This window comes from Homo sapiens, chromosome 8 (genome assembly GCF_000001405.40).
Source record: "Homo sapiens chromosome 8, GRCh38.p14 Primary Assembly".
Classification (NCBI taxonomy): domain Eukaryota; kingdom Metazoa; phylum Chordata; class Mammalia; order Primates; family Hominidae; genus Homo; species Homo sapiens.
In genome coordinates, this window is record NC_000008.11 from 94670300 (window position 1) to 94694078 (window position 23779).

Genomic DNA, 23779 nt, shown 5'->3' on the forward strand with positions numbered 1-23779 from the left:
TTCCTGTCCTGAGTTTATCTATTACTACACTAATTTTCTATTCTTGTTCTTCTAATGTTTTTGCTGTGTCTGGATTGTTTATATAACTTCTTATTAAAGTCTTCTTGTCTCTTTTTCATGCCGTTTCTCTGGTGGTGTGGTTTGATTTTTGTCCCCTCTTACTCAGATAGCAACTGAGCAGGGTGTGAGTGGGGAAATTAGTGCATGTTTTGGGGAAGGGTTCATTGATTCTTCTATATTGTCAATTTATGGGATGTTAAAGGCTAGAGTGATTAAGTTGTTCAGAAAACCTGGAGATGCCACAGATGGCATTTGCCTAAGGACTTCTAGTATTATGAACTAGTTGGCATGCTCTGAGACAAAAGTGGACAAGAGCCTTGTAATATGAGTGTTGCCTAAGGGCAGTCTTTTGTCTAAAATTCGCCTAACCTATCATCATCCATTTCCAAGATAGCTGAATTCCATGAATCTAGAAGATATTCAAGATCTTTTGTCTTACCACTGTCTCAAATTCACAGGGAAACTAAACTACTATTCATCTTTACGGTCAACAAATGATTCTTTTCAGGTCTTTATACCCACCCATTCTGTCTTGTGCTATTATTCAGCATTATATTTTAATATAATCCAAAGTGATTGTTTGGCCTGTGATTCTTTTACTGGGTCATTCTCTATTTCTTTGGTTTGGAGGTGGAGTATGAAGGTAATGAGGGGAATACTGTGTACTTAGTGAAATGATATATTTCTACTTTTGCTACAAAAGTCCACATTTAGTGATATGTTCAGAATTGTATAAAAGTGGCAGCTTTAGGGATAATATCCCTCACAGATAGTGATACATTGTTACAGGTAGACACTAACTGTTTAAGTGTTTTGTGTTGTGTGTGGTGTACACCTCACAGTGTATTTGACAAAAATGAGTATCATGCTTTCCCTGCTGGAATGCATGAATCCCTTTCTCCATTACTTCTCAAACTTGCATGTACTTCTGAATCACTTGAAGATTCAGTTCAGATGAAGATTCATATTTATTAGGTCTGGGGTGAGCTGGATTCTGCATTTCTAACGAGCTTCCCAGTGATGCCATTGCTGATCTGCAGAAAGCAGGGGAGTAGCACAGCTCTAAATTACTTCTGTTTTGCTTTGAGTACAGGTGCTGAATCGATTCTCCTCGGCCCCTCTCATTCCACTTCCAACCCCTCCCATTATTCCAGTACTACCTCAGCAATTTGTGCCCCCTACAAATGTTAGAGACTGTATACGCCTTCGAGGTCTTCCCTATGCAGCCACAATTGAGGACATCCTGGATTTCCTGGGGGAGTTCGCCACAGATATTCGTACTCATGGGGTTCACATGGTTTTGAATCACCAGGTAAGAAAGATACTTAGTGGAAAACTTATTTGCTTTTTCTCACTACATATGAGAAATATCTAATATTAGATATTAGATAATCTATTAGAAATATCTAATATTAGATATTAGTCTTTGATAAATAAAATTAGTCTGAGATAAATTTAGATGAAATTAGTCTTTGATAAATAAAATTAGTCTCACATCTAATTAAAAAGTACGTAATCCTCAGTTACACACTAAGTCTTTAAGGAAAGACTTAACTGTAAATACAAGAGGTCTTTAGAATGAACTGAAAATAATGCTGTCGTTAGTATAATAATTCAAATTCAGCTTTGATTTCTTCATCACAAATATCCATCACATTATCAATAGCGTCAAGTAGGCATGACATATATTATCAGTCTTGACACAATTTTTCTTATTTTGGCTGTTCAACTCTGCAACTCTGCTGTAGTGTTACAGCAATCATGGATGATGCTTATTTTAACAAATAATCATATCTGTTCCAGAATATTTTGTATCCATAGACTATTTAGAAATGGCTTATTTCATATTTAATATATACATGTTAGACATCAAATTACATTCAATAGGAACCAAACTCAGTGAGGACTTGAATCCATACCACCTAGAAAGAACAGTATGTGTGGATCATAACAGGCTCTCAAATGTATTAATGAATGAGTTGCTGAGAAGCCTGTATAAAAATCTAACTGAATTCTTCCATATGCAAATGTAAAGTATTTCCTAGCTTATTGTCACCTAATTTTTGGTTAAAGAAAATTATATTTGCTGGAAAATTTAACAGTATTTTGTGCTGTCATAAGCAAGATACAATTCTACAAACCCATAAGCCAGGTGGTTGTAGTTGAAACTTTGGAACTTTTTTTTTTTTTTGAGACAGAGTCTCACTCTGTCGTCCAGGCTGGATTGCAGTGGAGCAATCTCAGCTCACTGTAATCTCTGCCTCCTGAGTTCAAGCAATTCTCCTGCCTCAGCTTCCCGAGTAGCTGGGATTACAGGTGCCCACCACCATTCCCGGCTAATTTTGGTATTTTTAGTAGAGACAGGATTTCACCATGTTGGCCAGGCTGGTCTCAAACTCCTGACCTCGGGCGATCTACCCGCCTTGGCCTCCCAAAGTGCTGGGATTACAGGCGTAAGCCGCCGCACCTGGCCTGGGACTCTTAATTAAATGCAAAGCTGTATTAATTTTTGAAAATGTTTTCTGAGGATTAAGGGTTGAATGTAGGCTTATATTGAAAATACTGAATTTTTTTCCCCTAAATTGCTAATTTCTCACCTTTTCACTTGGAGATTTGGTCACTTTCATAACTGTAATCTTGTCTCACTGGAAAGCCTGTACCATTGGATACAAGGAATCAGAAACCATCCTGAGCCCTTGCCTTCTATACCAGTTTTCTGCATCAGCACATGCTCATTCTAAGTCTTCAGTCAATATTGATATTAAATTATGCAACTTGTTATCTGACCCTCTCAGCATGCTTCACTGGTAGCAGTTCTTTTGAATAAAATTGCCCACATTTAAGCATCACCAGGGAATTATTTGGTTTCTTATTGAGTCACCACTTCTAATAACCCAGAGGCCATTACTCTTTGATTAACAACAGTATTTGTCTCTCTTTGCCTCATGTGACCTATTGTGATTACACTTGGGAAAAGGTTCTTAGATGATGCACAAACTCTTAGGTGCCTTGAGGATGTTAGGTTTCCATCTTGGACTGGGTTTGTTGCTAGTTTCCCTGGTGTGGTAACTCTAATGGTAACTTGCATGGTAATAATTTCACAGTCCTTAAGAGACTTATTGAGAAAACCATAAAATAAGAAAGTAGTCCTGTAAGCTGATCATGTCTTTTTCTCCCCCATAAAACATTCGTGCTCAATAAAACTAAGGCGTTCTACCTCTGTGGAACACAAATCTACAGGCTTGGTTTGAAATAGGGGGTTTTAGCAAGCTATTACTAATAGAAAATGTCTGTTAGTAATACCTGTTTGACCAAGGTAGAGCTGTAAGGAGTGAGAGAAGGGCTCCCAAGCAAGGCTGATGATACATACAGCTCTCACAAATCATCACTGGGCCTTGCACCTCCCAAATTCCTTGCCCCCAAGCCACATTCCAACCTAGGTCTCAGGGATGAGGGAAGATTGAAAGGGATATGGCAGGTCAGTGATGGACTGGAACTGAGAGCCAAAAAAGAATACCGGTTCAGTTTCCTGTAGGAGGGTACCTAAAGCTCCAGTGCTGGTTCTGTTACTAGCTTTTCTCAATTGAATGAGATTTAATCGAATTTTTCAGAAGAGAAAAAAACTAGTATACGATCCTATATTTTGAAGCAGCAGTCACAAGGAGACCCTTTCAAACCCTTGTAAATCTGATACTAATTAACAGAAGTGAAAAAGGCTCATTTTCAGCTATGAGCTCTCAAAACTGTTTCTTAAAGGTTTTGTTGGCCATTCTGGTGATCAGGTGATGAAATGCAAGTCAGGTTCCAGCAGATCACACCATCACCCGGATTTTGTGGCTAAAATATCTGTATTATGGGTGATTGTCACTTTGCATGTTTTGTAAGCAACCATTTCCTTGTTGAAGGAGACAGTCTCCTTTTGTTTTTATTCTTCCCCCACACACTCAGGGCCGCCCATCAGGAGATGCCTTTATCCAGATGAAGTCTGCGGACAGAGCATTTATGGCTGCACAGAAGTGTCATAAAAAAAACATGAAGGACAGATATGTTGAAGTCTTTCAGTGTTCAGCTGAGGAGATGAACTTTGTGTTAATGGGGGGCACTTTAAATCGAAATGGCTTATCCCCACCGCCATGTAAGTTACCATGTAAGTTTTTCTTGGGTCTTGGCGCTATTCTACGCTATATGCTGGTAGGTGCTTAAGCTGCTTTCGTAACTTTCTGTGCCCCTGGTTCTTTCTGAGGCAGGTGAGGTGGTTATATAAGGCTCTCCCATCTGTAATCAGTAGTACCTGGTAATCATTTAAGACCTTGGTTGTGGACACCCATAATTAGAGATGCTACAAATACCTCCTTTCAAATTATATTCCTGCTTTTCCAGTGATAAGCACTTGATTTCTGAAGCTTAGTGTGCTCCAGATAAGCACTGACTCTGGGAGGCAACCTGGCTATATAGATAATTTTAGTACGCATTTAAAGGCAAAATAAAAGTATGGCTGGATTCTTTTTATTTTATTTTTTAAAACGTATTAACCTTTAAGAAGGGCAGTTTGATGCACATGTTGCATTTAACTTTTTGAGCATCAAGTATTTTTTTAACATTTTTGAGCATTTCTGTTGCTCTCCAGGATATCTGGAATGAGCAAGTGAGCAAAAACAAAAAACAAAAACAAAAAAAACCACATAGATTAATTAGCCAAAGTTTCCATTGGATCACAGGATCAGTGCTTAATTTTAAGCCATGCTCTCGCTCATTGGCACCTGGGTGCAAGCCATCTGGAATCCTATTTGAGGGGAATAAGCCCTGTAGTCTACGAAGTTCTAGTTAGTGAATAAGGAACATATGGGGATCTGATGTTAAAATTTGAGTCTTTTTTACACAATTTTTCCTTTAAATAAGATGTACCTTCTTAGGCCTGTTGGGTATGTTTAAAGAATATAGTATTTGCAGTACAGTTCAAAGATAACTAAGTAAACTGGATTATGTGCTTGATTCCAATAAAGCGGGGGATTTGGGCACCTCACTTTCTAATAAGATGGACCTATACTAATGATCTTGTTTGGTAAAGTATTATTTGTAGAACATTCAGTGGGGCTTAATCCTTTTTATCTTTTAGCATTTTGAATTTCTAAATGCTAATATTCCATTTACCTGCTGCTTGCTGTTGGTGAATATCTTAGAGTTGATCATTAATAAGTATGAAGTTTTGGAAATTTATAATTGGGTTAAGAGATCTTACAGTAATCTCAGTTGTATGTCTTCAGTATATAAACCACTGGTAATGTCAGTAGCTTTTACGATATCCTTTAGTGATAATCTGTCAAACATTGTAAGATAAAGCATCATGTGTGACCCAAATTCTGCTTTTGGAATATCCTTTCACTTGTCCCTCCTCCTGGTCATTACAGATTTTTCCTCTGAAGACTTTCATTTTTACCCATTTTTCCTCACAAGCCTCCAAATAAAAAAGATTTAAAATCCATGTGTCAGCCAGGTACAGTGATTCACACCTGTAATCTCAGCACTTTGGGAGGCCAAGGTGGGAGGATCACTTGAGGCCAGGGGCTCAAGACCAGCTTGAGCAACATAACGAGTTTATGTTTCATTTAACTTTTATGCAACTTCTTAAAGTTTGTTAACTTACTTTCTTAAGAAGGAATGTTTTATGGTTAACTTCATTTTTGTAGTCAGTGCATATACACTACTTTAGATATATAAGATTAGCTATCCTAGGCTGGGCATGGTGGCTTACACCTGTAATCCCAGCACTTTAGGAGGCTGAGGCAGGTGGATCACATAAGGTCAGGAGTGGCCAACATGGTGAAACCCCCTCTCTACTAAAAATACAAAAAATTGCCGGGAGTGGTGGCGCACATCTGTGATACCAGCTACTGAGGCAGGAGAATTGCTTGATCACGGGAGGCGGAGGTTGCAGTGAGCTGAGATTGCGCCACTATACTTCAGCCTGGGCGACAGTGAGACTCAGTCTCAAAAAAAAAAAAAAAAGCTATCCTTTTGTTTGAGGAATGCCCAAAACATTGCAGCCCAATCTATTTGGTTATCGAAAATTTCTACCTTTGTTTTGAAGCTGAACAGACTTACACCTACTATGTGTGTGTGTTTATGCATGTGTGGTTTTTTTTTGTTTTGTTTTGTTTTGAGACGGAGTCTTGCTTTTCTGCCAGGCTGGCATGCAGTGGCTCAGTCTTGGCTCGCTGCAACCTCTGACTCCCAGGTTGAAGTGATTCTCCTGCCTCAACCTCCTGAGTAGCTGGGACTACAGGAGTGTGCCACCATGCCCAGCTAATTTTTTGTATTTTAGTAGAGATGGGGTCTCACCATGTTGGCCAGGATGGTCTGGATCTCCTGCCCTTGTGATCTGCCCGCTTCGGCCTCCCAAAGTGCTGAGATTACAGGCGTGAGCCACCACACCCAGCCATGTGTGTTTGTCTTATTGGTGTGAGGCACTGTCCTGTAATGAACCGCTTGATAGTTTTGAAATCAGAATATGAACCGGGCGCGGTGGCTTACGCCTGTAATCCCAGCACTTTGGGAGGCCAAGGCGGGCAGATCACCCGAAGTCAGGAGTTCGAGACCAGCCTGACCAACATGGCGAAACCCTGTTTCTACTAAAAAAAAATTCAAGAAATCAGAATATGAGCACAGGCTGTATAACTTTCTGTGAGACTTAGGTGCCTCAATTTGTATTGTTGGTCTTTTGCACAGTTTTTGATGAGTATGAAAGAGGCACTCAAGTTAAATATGAGATCAATATGTTAGTCTTTTTTCTATACGCCCATATTTAGCTTGCTGTCTTATTCATCTCCATGGAAATGTAGAAACTCATAAGAACAAAAGACAATTTGAAGTCAGCTTGGAGATTTTTATGGGAAAAAGTTATTTCTTGGGCCTCTGCTGATTGCAAAATGTGGTGGTTCTAGGTATGAAGCTTAAAGTCAGGGACCCCATATTCATTCAGCATCTCAACTTAACTCTTCTATTGGGTATAAATGGCCCGGATAGTTGTGTTCATTCCACAAGTGAAAGCTAGTGACCAGCCACTGGTCTTCTGTTTCTAAACCTAGAAGATGTTTGATAACCAGAAGACAATGCAGTTGGGGCCCATTTTTTAATTTAATCTGAGCCAGCTTTTTATTAGTTGATTCCCAGGAAGACTTAGGCATCAATTCCTTTGGGACTATTTCCCAGGTTGGATTTTTTTCTTTTTAAAGGTCTGAAGATATAAATTAGCTTCAAAGCCCATCATGTGGCTAGCCTTTAGGTGAGAATAATGCAGAATTGATCTGCTTGTTTCTTTTAGGTCAGTTCCTTCTGGCACAGTCTATGCTTTGACCTAATATGTGGTAGTGGCCAAGAGAGGTTTATCATAACACTTCTCATTTGATGCTGTACTGACGGGTAGGTAGCAAGAGGGAGTAGAAGCATAACTTAAAATTTAAAATATTTAGTAGCCTCTAGTATGAAACTTAAACATCAGTTCCTTGTTTCTTTCCTCTGAGAGTTGGTTTGTAGTAACTGGCACTCAGGAACATGAGGGAAAAAAATTACATATTGTGAAATGGTTGAGAAGACATGAAAATCCACTTGATTTTGGTGTTTCCGAATTTCAGGCAAAGAACTGTTTTTTAGGTTGACAGGGTGGAATTCAGATACTTCTATGCATTAACTGTATAATCAAAAGGAAATTGCTTGGGATAGGATAAAGAACTGTGGTCTCTTTCTTTAAAATGTGTAGATGGAACAGTGACTATGTTTTTAGTGCTAGCACGTGCATGTCAGCTGTTACAAATATGTCTCAAAGAATCTCTCTTTGCATATCTAGGCCTGTCTCCTCCCTCCTACACATTTCCAGCTCCTGCTGCAGTTATTCCTACAGAAGCTGCCATTTACCAGCCCTCTGTGATTTTGAATCCACGAGCACTGCAGCCCTCCACAGCGTACTACCCAGCAGGCACTCAGCTCTTCATGAATTACACAGCGTACTATCCCAGGTAAGGCTCTGACAGAGGTGGAAATGAGGGGCAGAAACAAAGGACTCCTTTGATAGCCAGTGCAAGAGCTCACAAAAGAATATTGTCTGCCATGTTGAAGGTTAGCGTGGCAGGCCACAGCCTCTGGTCATATCTCTGACCAAGAAGGTTGTTTCAAGACAAAGCAAAAGCAGTATAGTTTTTAACCATATACTGACAGCATGATCTTTTAGGTCACCTATGTCTACAGCTTTCCTTTTTTACCTCTCCTGTCATAGGACCCCAAGTGAGTAGTGATGTGATCACTGCAATAGGATGGCAATATCAGATGAATGAATCATAAAACAGGAAAATTCATAACAGGAACAATGCTATTTTGAAGTAGTATGAGTTCATGTTATGGCACAGTGAATAAAAACTGTTGCTTTAAATATTCCAGGGCTTATATTCTTTTCCTCCTAAATCTTTAAACAAATCTATAAACCAATCCAGAATTAGATTATTTAGTGTTTTCTTAGAGTCTATATATTTTAAGTCTGTCTTTTTAGTTGTGTTCAATTTCTCGGACATAGCATACTAGCATATAATGGAGAGAATGTTGTCAGTCTGGGAGTTGGGAGACTGAATGTTAGTTTCTTTCCAAGCTATTTAGAAGAAATATTTGGAGTACATGCACGAGCATGTAAATGAGGCTTATAATAAGTGTCTTGGACCTAACCTGTCTGATCCTACAGCTATGTTGCATTGTATTTTTCTTCCCTGTCCAATACAGAATTTTCCACTAAGGAGTAAGAGTTAGGGGTCTCATAATAACAGGCAAGTTTGTAGCCACTTTTAATTATGTTTTTTATTTTGTTAGAAGTTTTTAAAACATTAATGCTATTGAAAATATTTTTTATTCCACTGGAGAAGAAAAATAAGAAAAAGGCTATGACAGTTGTCAGCTAGCTGTCTTCTGAAGGTTTGAAAAGGCTAAGAAGCATGAGTAACTGTTCATGATGGAATACTGTGCCAGACACGTAGCCCAGCCCCAATCTGCCACCCTCTCTGGACCCTGTGATAATTGCTTATGTCATCAGAATGTCAGGAATGGAATCCTTGGTGTCTCTGAATGTCTGCCAGTGTTCTTGTTCCTACAGTGTAATTGTAGAATATCCACTTCCATCACTACTTGCCACCTGAGTAGTGGTACAGGAAGGAGTTTCTTGGAAATGAGACCATGAATCTTGAAGCCCCAAAGGCAGAAGGAACTGACATTTATGGCTTAATAGCTCCTGTAATGTTGGATGTGGGCCTGTAGGTCAATTTTTTTTTTTCTACCAGTAGTTTTAAAATTTGTATTGTGCTCATTATTAAGTCTGAGTATAGGAGTGTAGTGAGTAAAAGTAAAGACTCCCATTTTATACACCTCTGAGTCTAGAAGTAACCGTTACTATCAGTTTGGTAATACACGTGTATGCTTCTAAATAATGTGACATCTTAATGTGTACTGTCTAATCGTTCCTTCTTTCTTTTTTTTAAAACTTGAAAATGTGTCAGTGACTTCTGTGTATATTTACCTCATTCTTGTAAATTCCTCAAAATGTCCAAAGAGTAAAAATATAATTTAAGTTTATTTGTAGATATCTGTACTTTTAATTTTTCTCTATTAAAGCTCATGTTGATCTTTAAATACTTGATTTTCTCTCTCTTTCTCAAACTTTTTTTCCCTGACTAAAGATGGGATTTTGCCGTTTTGCCTAGGCTGGTCTCAAACTCCTGGGCTCAAGTAATCCACTGCCTCAGCGTCCCAAAGTGCTGGGGTTACAGGGAACATGCTTGTATTTCTGTAAGACAGTTTTACAGAAGTGGAATTTTAAAAAGGAAGGTCAGGTGCGTTATATATAAGCTAATACTTCCAAATTAACCCCTAGAGTGTGTTATTTTATTTTACATTTCCCCACTTTTAGTGAAATTACCTACATAACAACATGAAAGCATTCAAGCATGGGAATTATATGCTCTTATTTATGCTGCAAATCTGGTATGATTTAAAAAGCATATGCCAAAGATGTTTTATAATTTTGATAGAAAAACATTAATTTCTTTTTTTTTGAGTCGGAGTTTCGCTCTTGTTGCCTGGGCTGGAGTGCAATGGCGTGATCTTGTCTCACCACACCCTCCGCCTCCCGGGATCAAGCTATTCTCCTGCTTCAGCCTCCTGAGTAGCTGGCATTACAGGCATGTGCCACCATGCCCGGCTAATTTTATGTTTTTAGTAGAGAAGGGGTTTCTCCATGTTGGTGAGGCTGGTCTCAAACTCCCGACCTCAGGTGATCTGCCCGTCTCAGCCTCCCAAAGTGCTGGGATCACAGGTGTGAGCCACCACGCTCGGTGAAAAACATTAATTTCTAACCTGGCATAACTACTGGGCATTTGAGGCTATTAAAAAACTTTGTTATGTAAATGCTCAAGTAGGTTTTGGCCTCCACTCTGATAAGTGGGAAATCTGAAACAGCATATTCTAGGGATATTATTAATCAGAAGCTCTTGTGTTTTTCTTTATTTTTAAATTTCTTCCATTAAAAAAAAGCCATAAGTGGTGGGTTATGCCTGTAATCCCAGCGCTTTGGGAGGCAAAGGTGGGAGGATCACTGGAAGCCAGTAGTTAGACACCAGCCTGAGTCTCAAAGTGAGACTCTATCTCTACTAAAAATAAAAAACTGTGGCTCACGCCTGTAATCCCAGCACTTTGGGAGGCCAAGGTGGACGGATCACGAGGTCAGGAGATAGAGACCATCCTGGCTAACATGGTGAAACCCCGTCTCTACTAAAAAATACAAAAAATTAGCCGGGCGTGGTGATGGGTGCCTATAGTCCCAGCTACTTGGGAGGCTGAGGCAGGAGAATGGCGTGAACCCGGGAGAAGGAGCTTGCAGTGAGCCAAGATCATGTCACTGCACTCCAGCCTGGGTGACAGAGCAAGACTCCATCTCAAAAAAAAAAAAAAAAAAAAAAAAAAAACTGGCTTGGCATGGTGGCTCACTCCTGTAATCCCAGCACTTTATGAGGCTGAGATGGGCAAATCACTTGAGGTTAGGAGTTTGAGACCAGCCTGGCCAACATGGTGAAACTCCATCTACTAAAAAATACAAAAAGTAGCTGGGTGTGGTGGTCAGTATCTGTAATCCCAGCTACTAGGGAGGCTAAGGCAAGAGAGTTGCTTGAACCCAGGAGACGGAGGCTGTAGTGAGCCAAGATTGTGCCACTGCACTCCAGCCTGGGCGTCACAGCGAGACTCCGTCTCAAAAAATAAATAATAAAAATGGCTGGGTGTGGTGGCTCACCCCTGTAATCCCAGCACTTCGGGAGGCCGAGGCAGGCAGATCACGAGGTCAGGGGTTCAAGACCAGCCTGGCCAATATGGTGAAACCCCACCTCTACTAATACCAAAATTGCCAGGGCATGGTGGTGGGCACCTATAGTTCCAGCTACTCCGGAGGCCAAGGCAGAAGAATCGCTTGAACCTGGGAGGCGGTGGTTGCAGTGAGCCAAGATCATGCCACTGCACTCCAGTCTGGGTGACAGAGCGAGACTCAGTCTCAAAAAATAAAAATAAATGATGCTGTCACAACAGCATCTGGAAGAGCAGGTGAAATGAAAGCATGTATGCCTCATGTGGTTTTGTTTTCTCTTTTTGGGCTTTTCACCCCCTTCTCTACCTCAGAAGAGGGTTTCAGTTTTCCAGTGACTCATACCTTAGCTAGGGCAGAAAAGTATTTAGAAGGGCTTTCTATTTGGGTCCTCTCTGATTATCAGTGCAAAATCAGTTACCTCACATCTTTTCTCTTTCATTACATCAAGCCCTACTTTTTCTTCTGACCTCTCATTTTTCTCAGAAAAGAATATTCTCCTTTGCATCAAAGCTGTTGCATAGGTGGGAGACATGCTGATTCTTCAAAGACTGAATGACATACATACCTTCTATGCATCTCTTGCTTTTCGTACGACATTATAAATTACAAGTAACATCAACTTTTTTGTCTTTGTTTTTTGAGATGTAGTCTGGCTCTATCACCCAGGGCAGAGTGCAGTGGCGCTACCATGGCTCACTGCAGCCTTGATCTCCCAGGCTCAAGCGATCCTCACGCCTCAGTCTCCCAAGTAGCTGAGACTATAGGCATGCACCACCTCACTTGGCTAATTTTTTGACTTTTTGTGGAGACGGGGTCTCACTTTGTTGCCCACGCTGGTCTCAAAGTACTGAGCTCAAGCAATCTTCCCACGTCAGCCTCCCAATGTGCTGGGATTACAGGTGTGAGCCACCATGCCCAGCCAAGTAACAACATTTTGCGCCAACAAAGGAAGCACAGGAAGTTTTACTTTTTTTAATGAGTGATGTAGTCACAAGTAGACTGCGCATGCTTGTATAAAAGCTTTATGGTGAGGAATAACCATTGTCTTTCTTGGGGTAACCATTTGTTTTAAAACCAGCTTTTGTTATAACCTAATGAATGAATATATATATGTGTGTATATACATATATATATTCATTATTCAATATATTCATTATTTTATATATATATATATATATATATATATATTTTTTTTTTTTTTTTTTTTTTTTTTTTTGAGACGGAGTTTCATTCTTGTTGCCCAGGCTGGAATGCAGTGGCACAATCTCAGCTCACTGCAGCCTCCGCCTCCTGGGTTCAAGCAATTCTCCTGCCTCAGGCTCCCAAGTAGCTGAATTTACAGGCATGTGCCACCATGCCCAGCTAATTTTGTATTTTTAGTAGAGACGGTGTTTCTCCATGTTGGTCAGGCTAGTCTCCAACTCCAGACCTCAAGTGATCCGCCCGCCTCGGCCTCCCAAAGTGCTGGGATTACAGGCGTAAGCCACCGCGCCCGGCCTATGAATATGTATATTTAGTAATATGTATGTGTTACTAAACACATTGATCTTTGGTTTGTTGTGTTACTGTGTTCTATCCTGGAATTCTTTGTAGTTGAACCAGAAGAATACCAAGCCTCTGAGAGAGGCTTACATTTCCTATTTTGAACTTGCTCTTCTTATTCCAGTTTACTTTTTTACTTGAAATTTGTATTGAGATTCACATGCAGTTGTAACAAATAATACATGGAGATCCCTTGTACACTTCGCCTAGTTTATCCCAATGGTAACATATGGGAATCAGTTTACTTTCTAATTTGCTTGTTGTTGCAAGTGTTCTCATAGGACCAAGAAAAAAGAATTCTTGATTTAAAAGTTTTCTTACAAGTTAAATATTTAGTATCACAAATGCAGACAAGAATTTAGCATCCAATGAAATGATGCTAGAAATAATAGTAATAGTGATGCAATATGAAGCAATATTATAATATGAGAGAAGTGTCAGGTAATTTTTGTGGGTGGTCATGATTATGATTATCAGGTTTTTTAGTTTGGATTAGGTTTCTAAATGATGTAAGGGAGAACAACTGCCGTGGGCAACTCACTCTCTCCTACTAGTCAGTGAGAGTTCAGAATGGCTTTCAGGGAGGAAATGACCCTTTGCTAATGTAAAAACTTCAATGGCGCGATCTCAGCTCACCACAACCTCCGCCTCCCAGGTTCAAGCGATTCTCCTGCCGCAGCCTCCCGAGTAGCTGGGATTACAGGCATGCACCACCATGCCCAGCTAATTTTGTATTTTTGGTAGAGATGGAGTTTGTCCATGTTGGTCAAGCTGATCTCGAACTCCCAAAATCAGGTGCTGTACTAGCCTCGGCCTCCCTAAGTGCTGGGATTACAGGTGTGAGCCACTGCGCACGCCTTGGGGTAAATTTAAGTTTAGTTACCAAACTTTTTTGACAGCACATAAATTTGCCAGGTATTTGGGTGAGATAGATTGTTGGGAGATTTATTTATTTGTGCCAAAGTGTTTTCCTATTTATTTGTTTGGTTCCTTAGACTTTCTCTGAGTGGTAGAAGTGCAGGCCTGGAGAAGCCTGTATGGACTTTTAGGAGCACTAACAGAAATCCAGCGTCCAGAGGTAGTCATCAGTCCATAGACTGCTGTAGTTATTAAATCCATGAAGAATCTCGAAAAGTTAACCTTGTTAATTTCAGATGAAAATTAAAGTCAGTTTAAAGGTTCCCTACATGAAAACTGACTTTAGGTTTTACACTGGCAAGGATTGAAACAGTATGTCTCCAGTTACTCCCAAATATGTGGTATTTGTAACACTAGGGATGTTAATGTTGGTAAAATGGTTCTGTGTGGTCATTTTACAAAGCAGTGATAATTAGATTTTTCTGCAGGGTTTCTCAAAAATGTGAAACAATATGTAGTCACTCATTCAGAGGGGAGACTGTAATTCTCTAATCTTCCACTTAATCAATTTCTCTAACCATACATATGATACTTTGGCCTCTCTTTTTTAGTGAAATTATAGCAAGTCTGCAGGGCATGGTGGCTCATGCCTGTAATCCCAGAAATTTAAGAGGCCAAGGTAGGAGGATCGCTGGAGCCCAGGAGTTCGAGACCATCCTGGGCATGCAAAAAATTTAAGTTGGGATGGTGGCACCCATTTGTAGTCCCAGCTACCTGGGAGGCTGAGGCTAGAGGATTGCTTGAGCCTGGAGATTGAAGCTGCAATGAGCTGTGATCGTGCTCATTGTGGTGTGGGAGACAGCACAAGCCTGTCTTTAAAAAAAAAAAAAGCCATATATATCTATATATGGCAAATCCTCAAATTGTGAATGTTATCAATACTCTCATACTTCTGACTACCTTTATTTTAGAAATCACCTGATAATATTAATTAGTATTACCAATGTTTGTATTTTGTGATTATTAAATGGAGGAAGAGTATTATAAGTCTTATTATCAATATAGCATATATTATGAGTATGTTGATGTGGTGGGCATCTTGGCATCCAGTATGTTCATATCTTGTTTTACATATAATTTTATATGATTTATTAGGCTACACTGTATATTATAAAAATAGACAATATATGTCAGGGTCTGGAAAATATAGCATAGGGAGAAATTTGTGGATAGTCCAATAACAGAATCTTGGCCAATTAAATTGATATTGGCATACCAGTGGGCTGTGCGGGAGCTTGAGGCTGCAGTGAGCTGTGATTGTGCCACTGCACTCTAGTCTGGTTGACAGTGAGACCCTGTCTCAGAAAACAAAACAATAGGGTTGGGCATGGTGGCTTTGTAATCCCAGCACTTTGGGAGGCTGAGGAGAGCAAATCACCTGAGGTTAGGAGTTCAAGACCATCCTGGCCAACGTGGCAAAACTCCATTCTGAAAAAATAAAAAAATTAGCCAGGCATGGTGGCAGATGCCTATAATCCCAGCTATTTGGGAGGCTGAGACATGAGAATGGCATGAATATGAAAGATGGAGGTTACAGATTGTGCCACTGCTCTCCAGCCGGGGTGACAGGGAGACAGTCTCAAAAAAAAAAACCAACAAAAACAAAACAATGGGCTGGGAGCAGGTAGTCAAAGCAAAGGAAGATTGAATGGTAAAATTCATAATTTTAAAGGAAAGGATATCATAACTTATCAGGGAAATGGAATTTTTATTTACATTGTGCTTGGAAAAACTTAATACCTATATATGTTGTTTTGTTTGAGACACAGTCTCCCTCTGTCACCCAGGCTGGAGTGCAGTGGTGCAATCTCGGCTCACTGCAACCTCTGCCCCCTGGGTTCAAGCGATTCTCTTGCCTCCGTCTCCTGAGGCACCCACTACCCTGGCTAATTTTTGTATTTTTAGTAGAAACAGAGTTTTGCCATGTTGGCCAGAGTGGTCTCGAATTCCTGACCTCCAGTGATCCACCCGCCTCGGCCTCCCAAAGTGCTGGGATTACAGGCATGAGCCACCAGGGCTGGCCTACGTTACCTATATATGTACAGAGGATATTAAGTGCTGCAGTGGAGGAAGTCTTCAGCAACTTTATAATATATTAACTCATGTATTTCATTCAGTAATTTCCTAACATGATCTTGGTGCAGCTTACTGAAGGAGCCTTGGCTGTGATCCTAAGTAATCAATGTCTTTGCAACTGTGATGCTCTAGCAGTTTTCTGGATACAAGCCTTTGGAACAGCCCCTCTAGTATTAATTTCTTTCCCTTCATTTCCTCTCACATCCCTTCAGCTCTTTGTTCAGGTTACCCTAAGGTTGCTTATCCAGCTCAAGGACAGTCTCCTTGTTAGTTTATTTGATGTGGTACAGTCTCCAAAACTGTAGGACCTTTGAATACACTGTTACATTGACTTGGTCATTTGTCCCTAACCCTTCGGTTCCTCTATGGTCCTATCAATTTTTGAACTTTTATATCTTTTGAGTACAAGTTACATTATTGACACAATGTATATATGATATGTTAATAAATACTGGCACTTGAGAATCTGAAATGTAAAGGTATAATGGAGGTAAAAATCTAAAACAGTGACATTATTGAACATAACTTCAGATGAGTTACTAATTGGCATAGCTCTTTTTTAAGAACTTTTTATTCTTATTTGGCGTGCAATTAGAAAATTTCATGCTTAATCCTTATATTTCTCTAAACTACTGCCATAAAGCCTGTACACATGATTTTTATTACAGCTTTGAGATAATTTGATAAAATTTACCTATTTTAGGTGTTCGGTCATTTTTAGTATATTTACAGAGTTCCAAAATTTACAATTGTAGAATAATTTTACAATCTAATCTTTAGGTAATCATGTAACAGTCTAATTTTAGAATATTATGTCACTCCAAAAAGAAACCTTATGCCCATTAGTTAGAAACTCCCATTTGCCTGTCCTCTATCTCTTCACTGACCCCTCTCCCCACCCCTAAACAACTATCAATCCATTTTCTATTTCTATAGATTTTCCTATTCCAGATAATATTTCAGTTTCATTCATATTGTGACATATATCATCCCTTTTATGGTGAAATAATCCATTGTAGAGCCATACCACATTTGGTTTATCCATTCATCAGTTGATGGCTATTTAGAGTTTTTACACTTTTTGGCTATTAAGAATAATGCTACTTGAAACATATGCATTCATGTTTCTGTGTGGACATAGGTTCTCAGTTTTCTAGGGTATATATCTAGAAGTGGAATTGCTGGATAATACAGTAACTATTTAGCTTTCAAGAAACTGCCAACCAAGCTGTTTTCCAAAGTGGCTTCACCATTTGACATTCCCACTAACAATATATAAAGGTTCTAATTTCTGTAATTGCTTTCCAATTCTTACTGTCTTTAATTTTACCCATTTTCTTGGGTGTGGGTTTGCTATCTCATTATGATTTTGATTTGCATTTCCTTAATGAGCATTGGTTTTGAGAATCTTTTTATGTGATTCTTAGCTATTTGCACATCTTAGGAGAAATGTCTACTCAAATCCTTTGCACATTTTTAAATTGGATTATTTTCACTTGTAAATTTTTTTCATATATTCTAAATATGAGATCTTATAAGACATCATTTACAAATATTTTCTCCAATTCTGTAGGTTGTCTTTTCATTTTCTTGGTAGTGTCCTTTAAAGTATAAAAGTTTTTAATTTTGATTGTTAGTTTATTCTTTTTTCCCTTACACTTTTGGTGTGATGTCTAACCCAGGGTCACAAAGATTTACTACTATGTTTTGTAAGTGTTTTGTAGTTTTAGCTCTTAGATTTAGGTATAATTCGATCTGAGTTCATTTTTTGTATGGTGTGAGGTAGGGGTCTAAAATCATCCCTTTAGAGAAAAACAAAGTCATCCTTTTACGTGTTGATAGTCCATTGTTCCAGCACCACTTATTGAAAACACCTCTTTCCCATCAAATTGCATTCTAATAACTCTTATCAAAAATCTATGACCAGCTGTTTTTGTGCCATCAAAATGGTGCACATTGAATGTCCTGACCATTGCTCTTAAGAGCATCAACAATGTCAAAACAAGAGGCAAACATCAGGTTCTTAGAAGGCTGTGCCCAGTGTTATTGTCCAGTTTCTGACTGATGATGAAGCATGGTTACAATGGCGAATTTGAAGTCATTTGAGATCACAGAGCTGGGGAAATTGTTGTGAACCTCACAGGCAAGTTAAACAAGTGTGATCATCCTCAGATTTCACGTGCAACTCAAAGATCTAGAAAAGTGGCAGAATTATCTGCTTCCACGTCATCAGTTTGGTTTCATTATACTGACAACTTCGGCTGGCATCACAGACCATGAAGAAGCAAGATGAAAACACACATGAGGGAAAACCCTGGGATTCATGTTCTTGGGGATATAATACATGCAAATAAAATGCCTCAACAGACAAAAACAAAACCAATTGATAATAAGTGTAAAGGTTTATTTCTGTTCTCTCAGTTACATTCCGTGGGTCTATATGCCTCTCCTTATGCTAGTACTGTACTGTAATGATTGCTGTAGCTTTGTAGTATGTTTTGAATTTGTGAAGAAAAAGTCATCCTACTTTTTCTTTGTTGAGTATTCTGGATCCTTTTTATTTCCATATACATTTTAGGTTCAGTTTTGTCAATTTCTGTACAAAAGACAGCTGGAATTTTGATAGCTATTGCATTGCACCTGTAGATCAATTTGGTGGTATGGCCATTTTAGCAATATTAATTCTTACCCAGGCATGGTGGCTCACGCCTGTAATCCCAACACTTTGAGAGGCCGAGGTGGGCAGATCACTTGAAGCCAGTAGTTTGAGACCAGCCTGGCCAACATGGTGAAATCCTGTCTCTACTAAAAATACAAAAATTAGCCAGATGTGTTGGCACATGCTTGTAATCCCAGGTACTTGGGAGGCTGAGGCACGAGAATTGCTTGAATCTGGGAGGCAGATGTTGTAGTGAGCTGAGATTGAACCACTGCACTCCAGCCTGGGTGATAGCGAGACTCAGTCTCCAAAAAAAAAAAAAAAAAAAAAAAAATCATATTTATGAACATGGGCTGCCTTTCCATTTATTTAGATGATCTTTTTTCTTTTAACAATGTTTTGTAGTTTTCAGTGTGCAACTCTTGCACTTTTAAATGTTTCTCTAAGTCTATTATTTTTGATGCTATAGTGAATGGAATTGTTTTATTTTTGGTTGTTGTAGTGTATAGAAATGCAGTTGATTTATTTTGTGTATTGATCTTATGTAACCTTGCTGAACTGGCTTATTAGATCTAGTAGTTTTTTAGTAAATTCTTTTTTATTTTTCTACATATAAGTTCATATTTGTCTTTATCTTGCCATTTTTATAATGTAAATTATTTTTGCTGATTCTTATTTCAGTAATCCACAAAAGACCTTAAGATTTAGAATTTAGGATTTTTTTGTTTTGAGACAGAGCCTCACTTTGTTGCCCAGGCTGGAGTGCAGCCGATCTTGGCCCACTGCAACCTCTGCCTCCTGGGTTCAAGTGATTCTCGTGCCTCAGCCTCCCAAGCAGCTGGAATCACAGGCATGTGCTATGATGCCTGGCTTTTTTTTTTTTTTTTTTTTTTTTTGATGGAGTCTTGCTCTGTCGCCCAGGCTGGAGTGCAGTGGCGCCATCTCAGCTCACTGCAAGCTCCATCTCCCAGGTTCATGCCATTCTCCTGCCTCAGCTTCCTGAGTAGCTGGGACTACAGGCGCCCACCACCATGCTCGGCTAATTTTTTTGTATTTTTTAGTAGAGATGGGGTTTCACCGTGTTAGCCAGGATGGTCTCGATCTCTTGACCTCATGATCCACCTACCTTGGCCTCCCAAAATGCTGGGATTACAGGCGTGAGCCACCGTGCCCGGCCTAATTTTTTTTGTTTTTTTGTTTGTTTGTTTTTTGTTTTTTAGAGACAGGATTTCACTGTGTTGGCCAGGCTGGTGTCAAATTCCTGGCCTAAAGTGATCACCCACTTTCATCTCCCAAAGTGCTAGGATTACAGGCATGAGCTACAATGCCTGGCTAATTTTTTTTTTTTTTTTTTTTTTTTTTTTGGATTTTTAGTGGAGATGGGATTTCACCATGTTGGCTAGGCTGGTCTCGAACTCCTGGCCTCAAGTGATCTCCCCACTTTGGCCTCCCAAAGTGCTGGGATCACAGGTATGAGCCACTGCACCCGGCCTAGAATTTAGGTTGATGAAAAATTCTTACTTTCATGTCCTGTCAGGTAGATATATGACTTTTTAAATTTTTCTTACGATTCCTTGTATACAGCAGGTAATCATAGCTGTGAAAAATAAGGATAAGAATCCAAATTGTGTTGTATTTAAGCTTCATCAGAATAGATGGTACCTTAGATGCGGAATATAATTGTCATTTATAAGCTTAAATTTCTAGTTGTGCAACATTTACTTTGGCTAGTTTTATCTGGATTATATTTTGAGAGTACTAGAGACCTCAGGCTTAATTTATAGAAGATCTTTAGGCAAGTGGAATAGAATATGGCAGGATAAAGCTGTGAAAGTAAGTTGTATGCTGTGAAAATGACCTTTTATATCTAGTCTGGAAAAGTCTAAGTAATCAAATATGTGCAGAAGTCCCGATGGTCTTTGAGTATTAGACTTGCTATCTTTCTGAGCAAACATCATCTTTGAGTGAATGCTAGTTGTACAGGAGGAAAGTAATGAACCAGAAGTCAAGAGTTTGGGTGATTCTTATAGTTTGGCAAGAGGTAACTTATGTGACCTGTTGAGAAATTATCTAACTCTTAGTTTCTGTTTCCACCTCTGCAAAAATGAAGAGGTATGACTGAATAGTGGCGAATGTCCTACTCAGACCAAAAGTTTAGCATTTCTTCTTTCTCTAGTCTCACAGTTGCCCATAAATTGACTTGAAATCTCACATTGTGATCACATAGTAGCCTTTAAAATATATTTATATCAATGTCTGGGTTTGGCTCTCTTGAGTTTCTAATTTTTAATTTGTTGGGGTAGTATCTCATAATAGAGAGTTGTTTAAAAAACAAACAAACAAAAAAACACAAAAACTCCCCTGCTGATTCTTACTTGCAAATTAGTTAAAGACCACTGCTTTAGCAACATAGAAGGTTGAGGGCAGCTTAATGTAAAGTAATAGTTCAGGCTCCCATTATTTTTAAAATGATGAAATATGATGGTGACGGAAATAGCAAGAATGAAGTAATGTTACAGCATTTTTATGGTTTATGAAGTAATTTGATATGTTAAGTCACTGAAGCTGAAGAGCAGTTCTGTGAAACTAGGAAAGTGCTGATCACCCCCCAGTAAGCAAATGAAGGAATTAAGTGATTTAAGCTTGCTGTGCTAATTATAGACAGAGTCTGGGACTGGAGGCACATCTGACTCCATTCCTATTAAGCTATCTGTTAGGATTATGTATGATAGATAATCTCAAAGACTTTTAGTCCCTTCTATTATGTGTTTAATTACCCTTGAAATGGGACAATTACCAACTCAGAAAGATGAATAAAGGTTAATAATCCAAAGTTGCAAGTCTATATTACTCTTTAGGCTGATGACTTTTAAAAAATTCCCTATATATTTTCAATTATGAGTTTTAATTATATTAAACTATATATTATGTAAAATGAATTGTGTAATAAAAATTTTTAATAATGGCCACCAATTGAGGTAGAAAACAGAGTGGGTGGGAACAGGGTGAAACTAATTGCATAATATGGTAATGACTCAAGTTGTCACATAAAGTTGGGTGTTTACTTGGCTGGTGTTCCTTGGAGGTTATGGTTGCAGATATACCGGAAGACCCACTCATCAATTTTCTCCCTTGTGTTAATGGTGATTGATTTAATTTTTATGTATCTCTTCCAACGTCCGCCACCCCCATTTTTTAAAAGGCAGGAAAATATAACCCATGGGCACTCTAGTACTTTGATTTGCTGTAGTACTGCTGTGCTATTCCTCATGCTCCTATATATAGGTAGAACAGTCTATTCTTTGGTGCAATCACTTTGGATACTTCTGGTCTCTGTGGCTGTGGTTCCCTTTAGTTCTTTGTATACGTGCCTCTTCATGCCTTAGTGTTCTTGGTAGCTAGCCGGTGAATCATCAGAGAGCTGGGCCTCGGAAGTGGTGCTTTGCGGTGGAGTTGACATGAGGCTTACTTCTGTCCTTCTCTTAAGAATCTCAGGGATGTGAGGAAGCCCTGTATGTAATTCTGCACTAATCTCACTGCCTTTCAACTTTTGGCTTTCGTGGAAATGTGAGACAGAACTGCTGTGGTGTTTTCACCTGTCTTAGGAAAGACAGCTCTGAGAAGTATAAGAAAGGTTGCCTTGAGAAATTCTGTTTCCTTAAGTAACTAATGTTTTTATAGTAAGTATTCAACATTGTCTATTCCTATTGGTTCACTGTGCTTTCTCTCCCTTTAGCCCCCCAGGTTCGCCTAATAGTCTTGGCTACTTCCCTACAGCTGCTAATCTTAGCGGTGTCCCTCCACAGCCTGGCACGGTGGTCAGAATGCAGGGCCTGGCCTACAATACTGGAGTTAAGGAAATTCTTAACTTCTTCCAAGGTTACCAGGTCAGTAGCTTGAAGGAGAATAATCCTCAGTGCCCTTATTACTTAAGTTGATTTGCCTAAAGAATGCAGCCAGGAAAGAAACAGATTCTATGAAACTCGTGTGTGTATATATGCTAATGGATTTGCTTATGGAAACAAATAGATCTGGAGTCACTGTGGGGACCAACTTCAGACTCATCCCCTTGTCAGAAATTAAGGCTTTTTCCATGCTGTCTTAAGTCTTCCAACTTAATCTGTTGGTTATTTTTTGAAAAGTGAGCTACTTTGGGAAAGCTCTTTAGGACATGCAGCAGTATGAGTGTTTACATCTAGAATAGGATTGGCTAAGGGGTTTTATTCAAAGTGAAGTGTCAAATCCTTGACTAAACCAATAAGTACTTAAACATGGGTTTTAAAGGTGAGTATTTAAACATGGCCAGAGGCCTCTGGATAACCTGGAAAAAAAAAATTGCCTAACTCCTAGGACACTCATGAGTCTTTAGGTGGTAACACCTTAGAATGAGCTCTCAGGTGTTGGGCGAGCCTTTCATGTTTATTCTCGTGACTAATGTTTGCTCTTGGCAGTTTTTTTCTACCCCAGTCTGTGTCCATCAGCTGTTTTCTCACATATGCTAAAGAATGAGATGATTTTTAGTAAGAGTTCTTTAACAGTGAACATTGCCATTCCATCTAAGCAGATAGCTTTCTTTCCTCAAGTCACATAATTACCTAAGTCTTAAATTCCTTCTTTCCTGCCATTTCTAAAAAATAAGTAACTTATAGTCTTTTTATTGTACTAATAGCAAAAATTGTCCTCTTTCCTCCTGGATCTGAACGTTGCTTGAGTCTTTGGAGTGGAGAAGCTGTTTTCGGAATAATAGTCACATTCTAAAATAGCCCTTGAGCATTTTCAGTACAGCATTACAAGGGTTGTGTCTGTAGAGGCTATTTGGTGATTAGAATGGGTTTACGAGCTTGGCATCTGTGAGTCATGGAGGACTGTGATCTCAGCTAAAATTATCTCAGGGGCGATGCTACCAGCCCAAACCTACCAAGTGGCTGTCATTTTCTCAGGGGCTTTTAAACATATGAAGGACACTTTCTGACAAAATCTATGGCTGATAGTGAAAAGCTGAAGGAAGGTGGAGGTCAGTAGATACTCACTCCTCCCTAAGCAATTTTGCTGCCTTTGGAAGACTTTGAAAGGGGTTAAAAAGTTACTTTTTAAACTTCCTATCTGATTCATTAGATTATAAAAGGAAGATTTTACTA

The 23779-nt window shown here is 39.2% G+C and overlaps 1 protein-coding gene and 1 pseudogene across 7 annotated transcripts in view, besides 1 other annotated feature; both read left to right on the forward strand.

Moving 5' to 3' along the window:
• Positions 1 to 23779, forward strand: part of ESRP1 (epithelial splicing regulatory protein 1) — a 66293-nt gene that overhangs the window by 29126 nt on the left and 13388 nt on the right. For 2 of the 7 annotated variants that reach the window (NM_017697.4, XM_005250991.4), the window contains exons 11-14: positions 1154 to 1372; positions 4009 to 4207; positions 7904 to 8072; positions 22378 to 22528. In NM_017697.4, coding sequence (NP_060167.2) covers positions 1154 to 1372; positions 4009 to 4207; positions 7904 to 8072; positions 22378 to 22528 — 738 coding nt within the window. The remainder of the gene's footprint in view (positions 1 to 1153; positions 1373 to 4008; positions 4208 to 7903; positions 8073 to 22377; positions 22529 to 23779) is intronic. The other 5 variants (NM_001034915.3, NM_001122826.2, NM_001122825.2 and 2 more) reach the window with 3 other exon arrangements.
• Positions 11536 to 11585: an enhancer, noted in NCBI's record as "active region_27634". NCBI's record gives its function as "activates an Ori minimal core promoter by ATAC-STARR-seq in GM12878 lymphoblastoid cells {active_cell/tissue: GM12878}" and the evidence as "EXISTENCE:reporter gene assay evidence [ECO:0000049][PMID:35858748]".
• RPS15AP26 (ribosomal protein S15a pseudogene 26) lies at positions 17939 to 18311 on the forward strand (annotated as a pseudogene).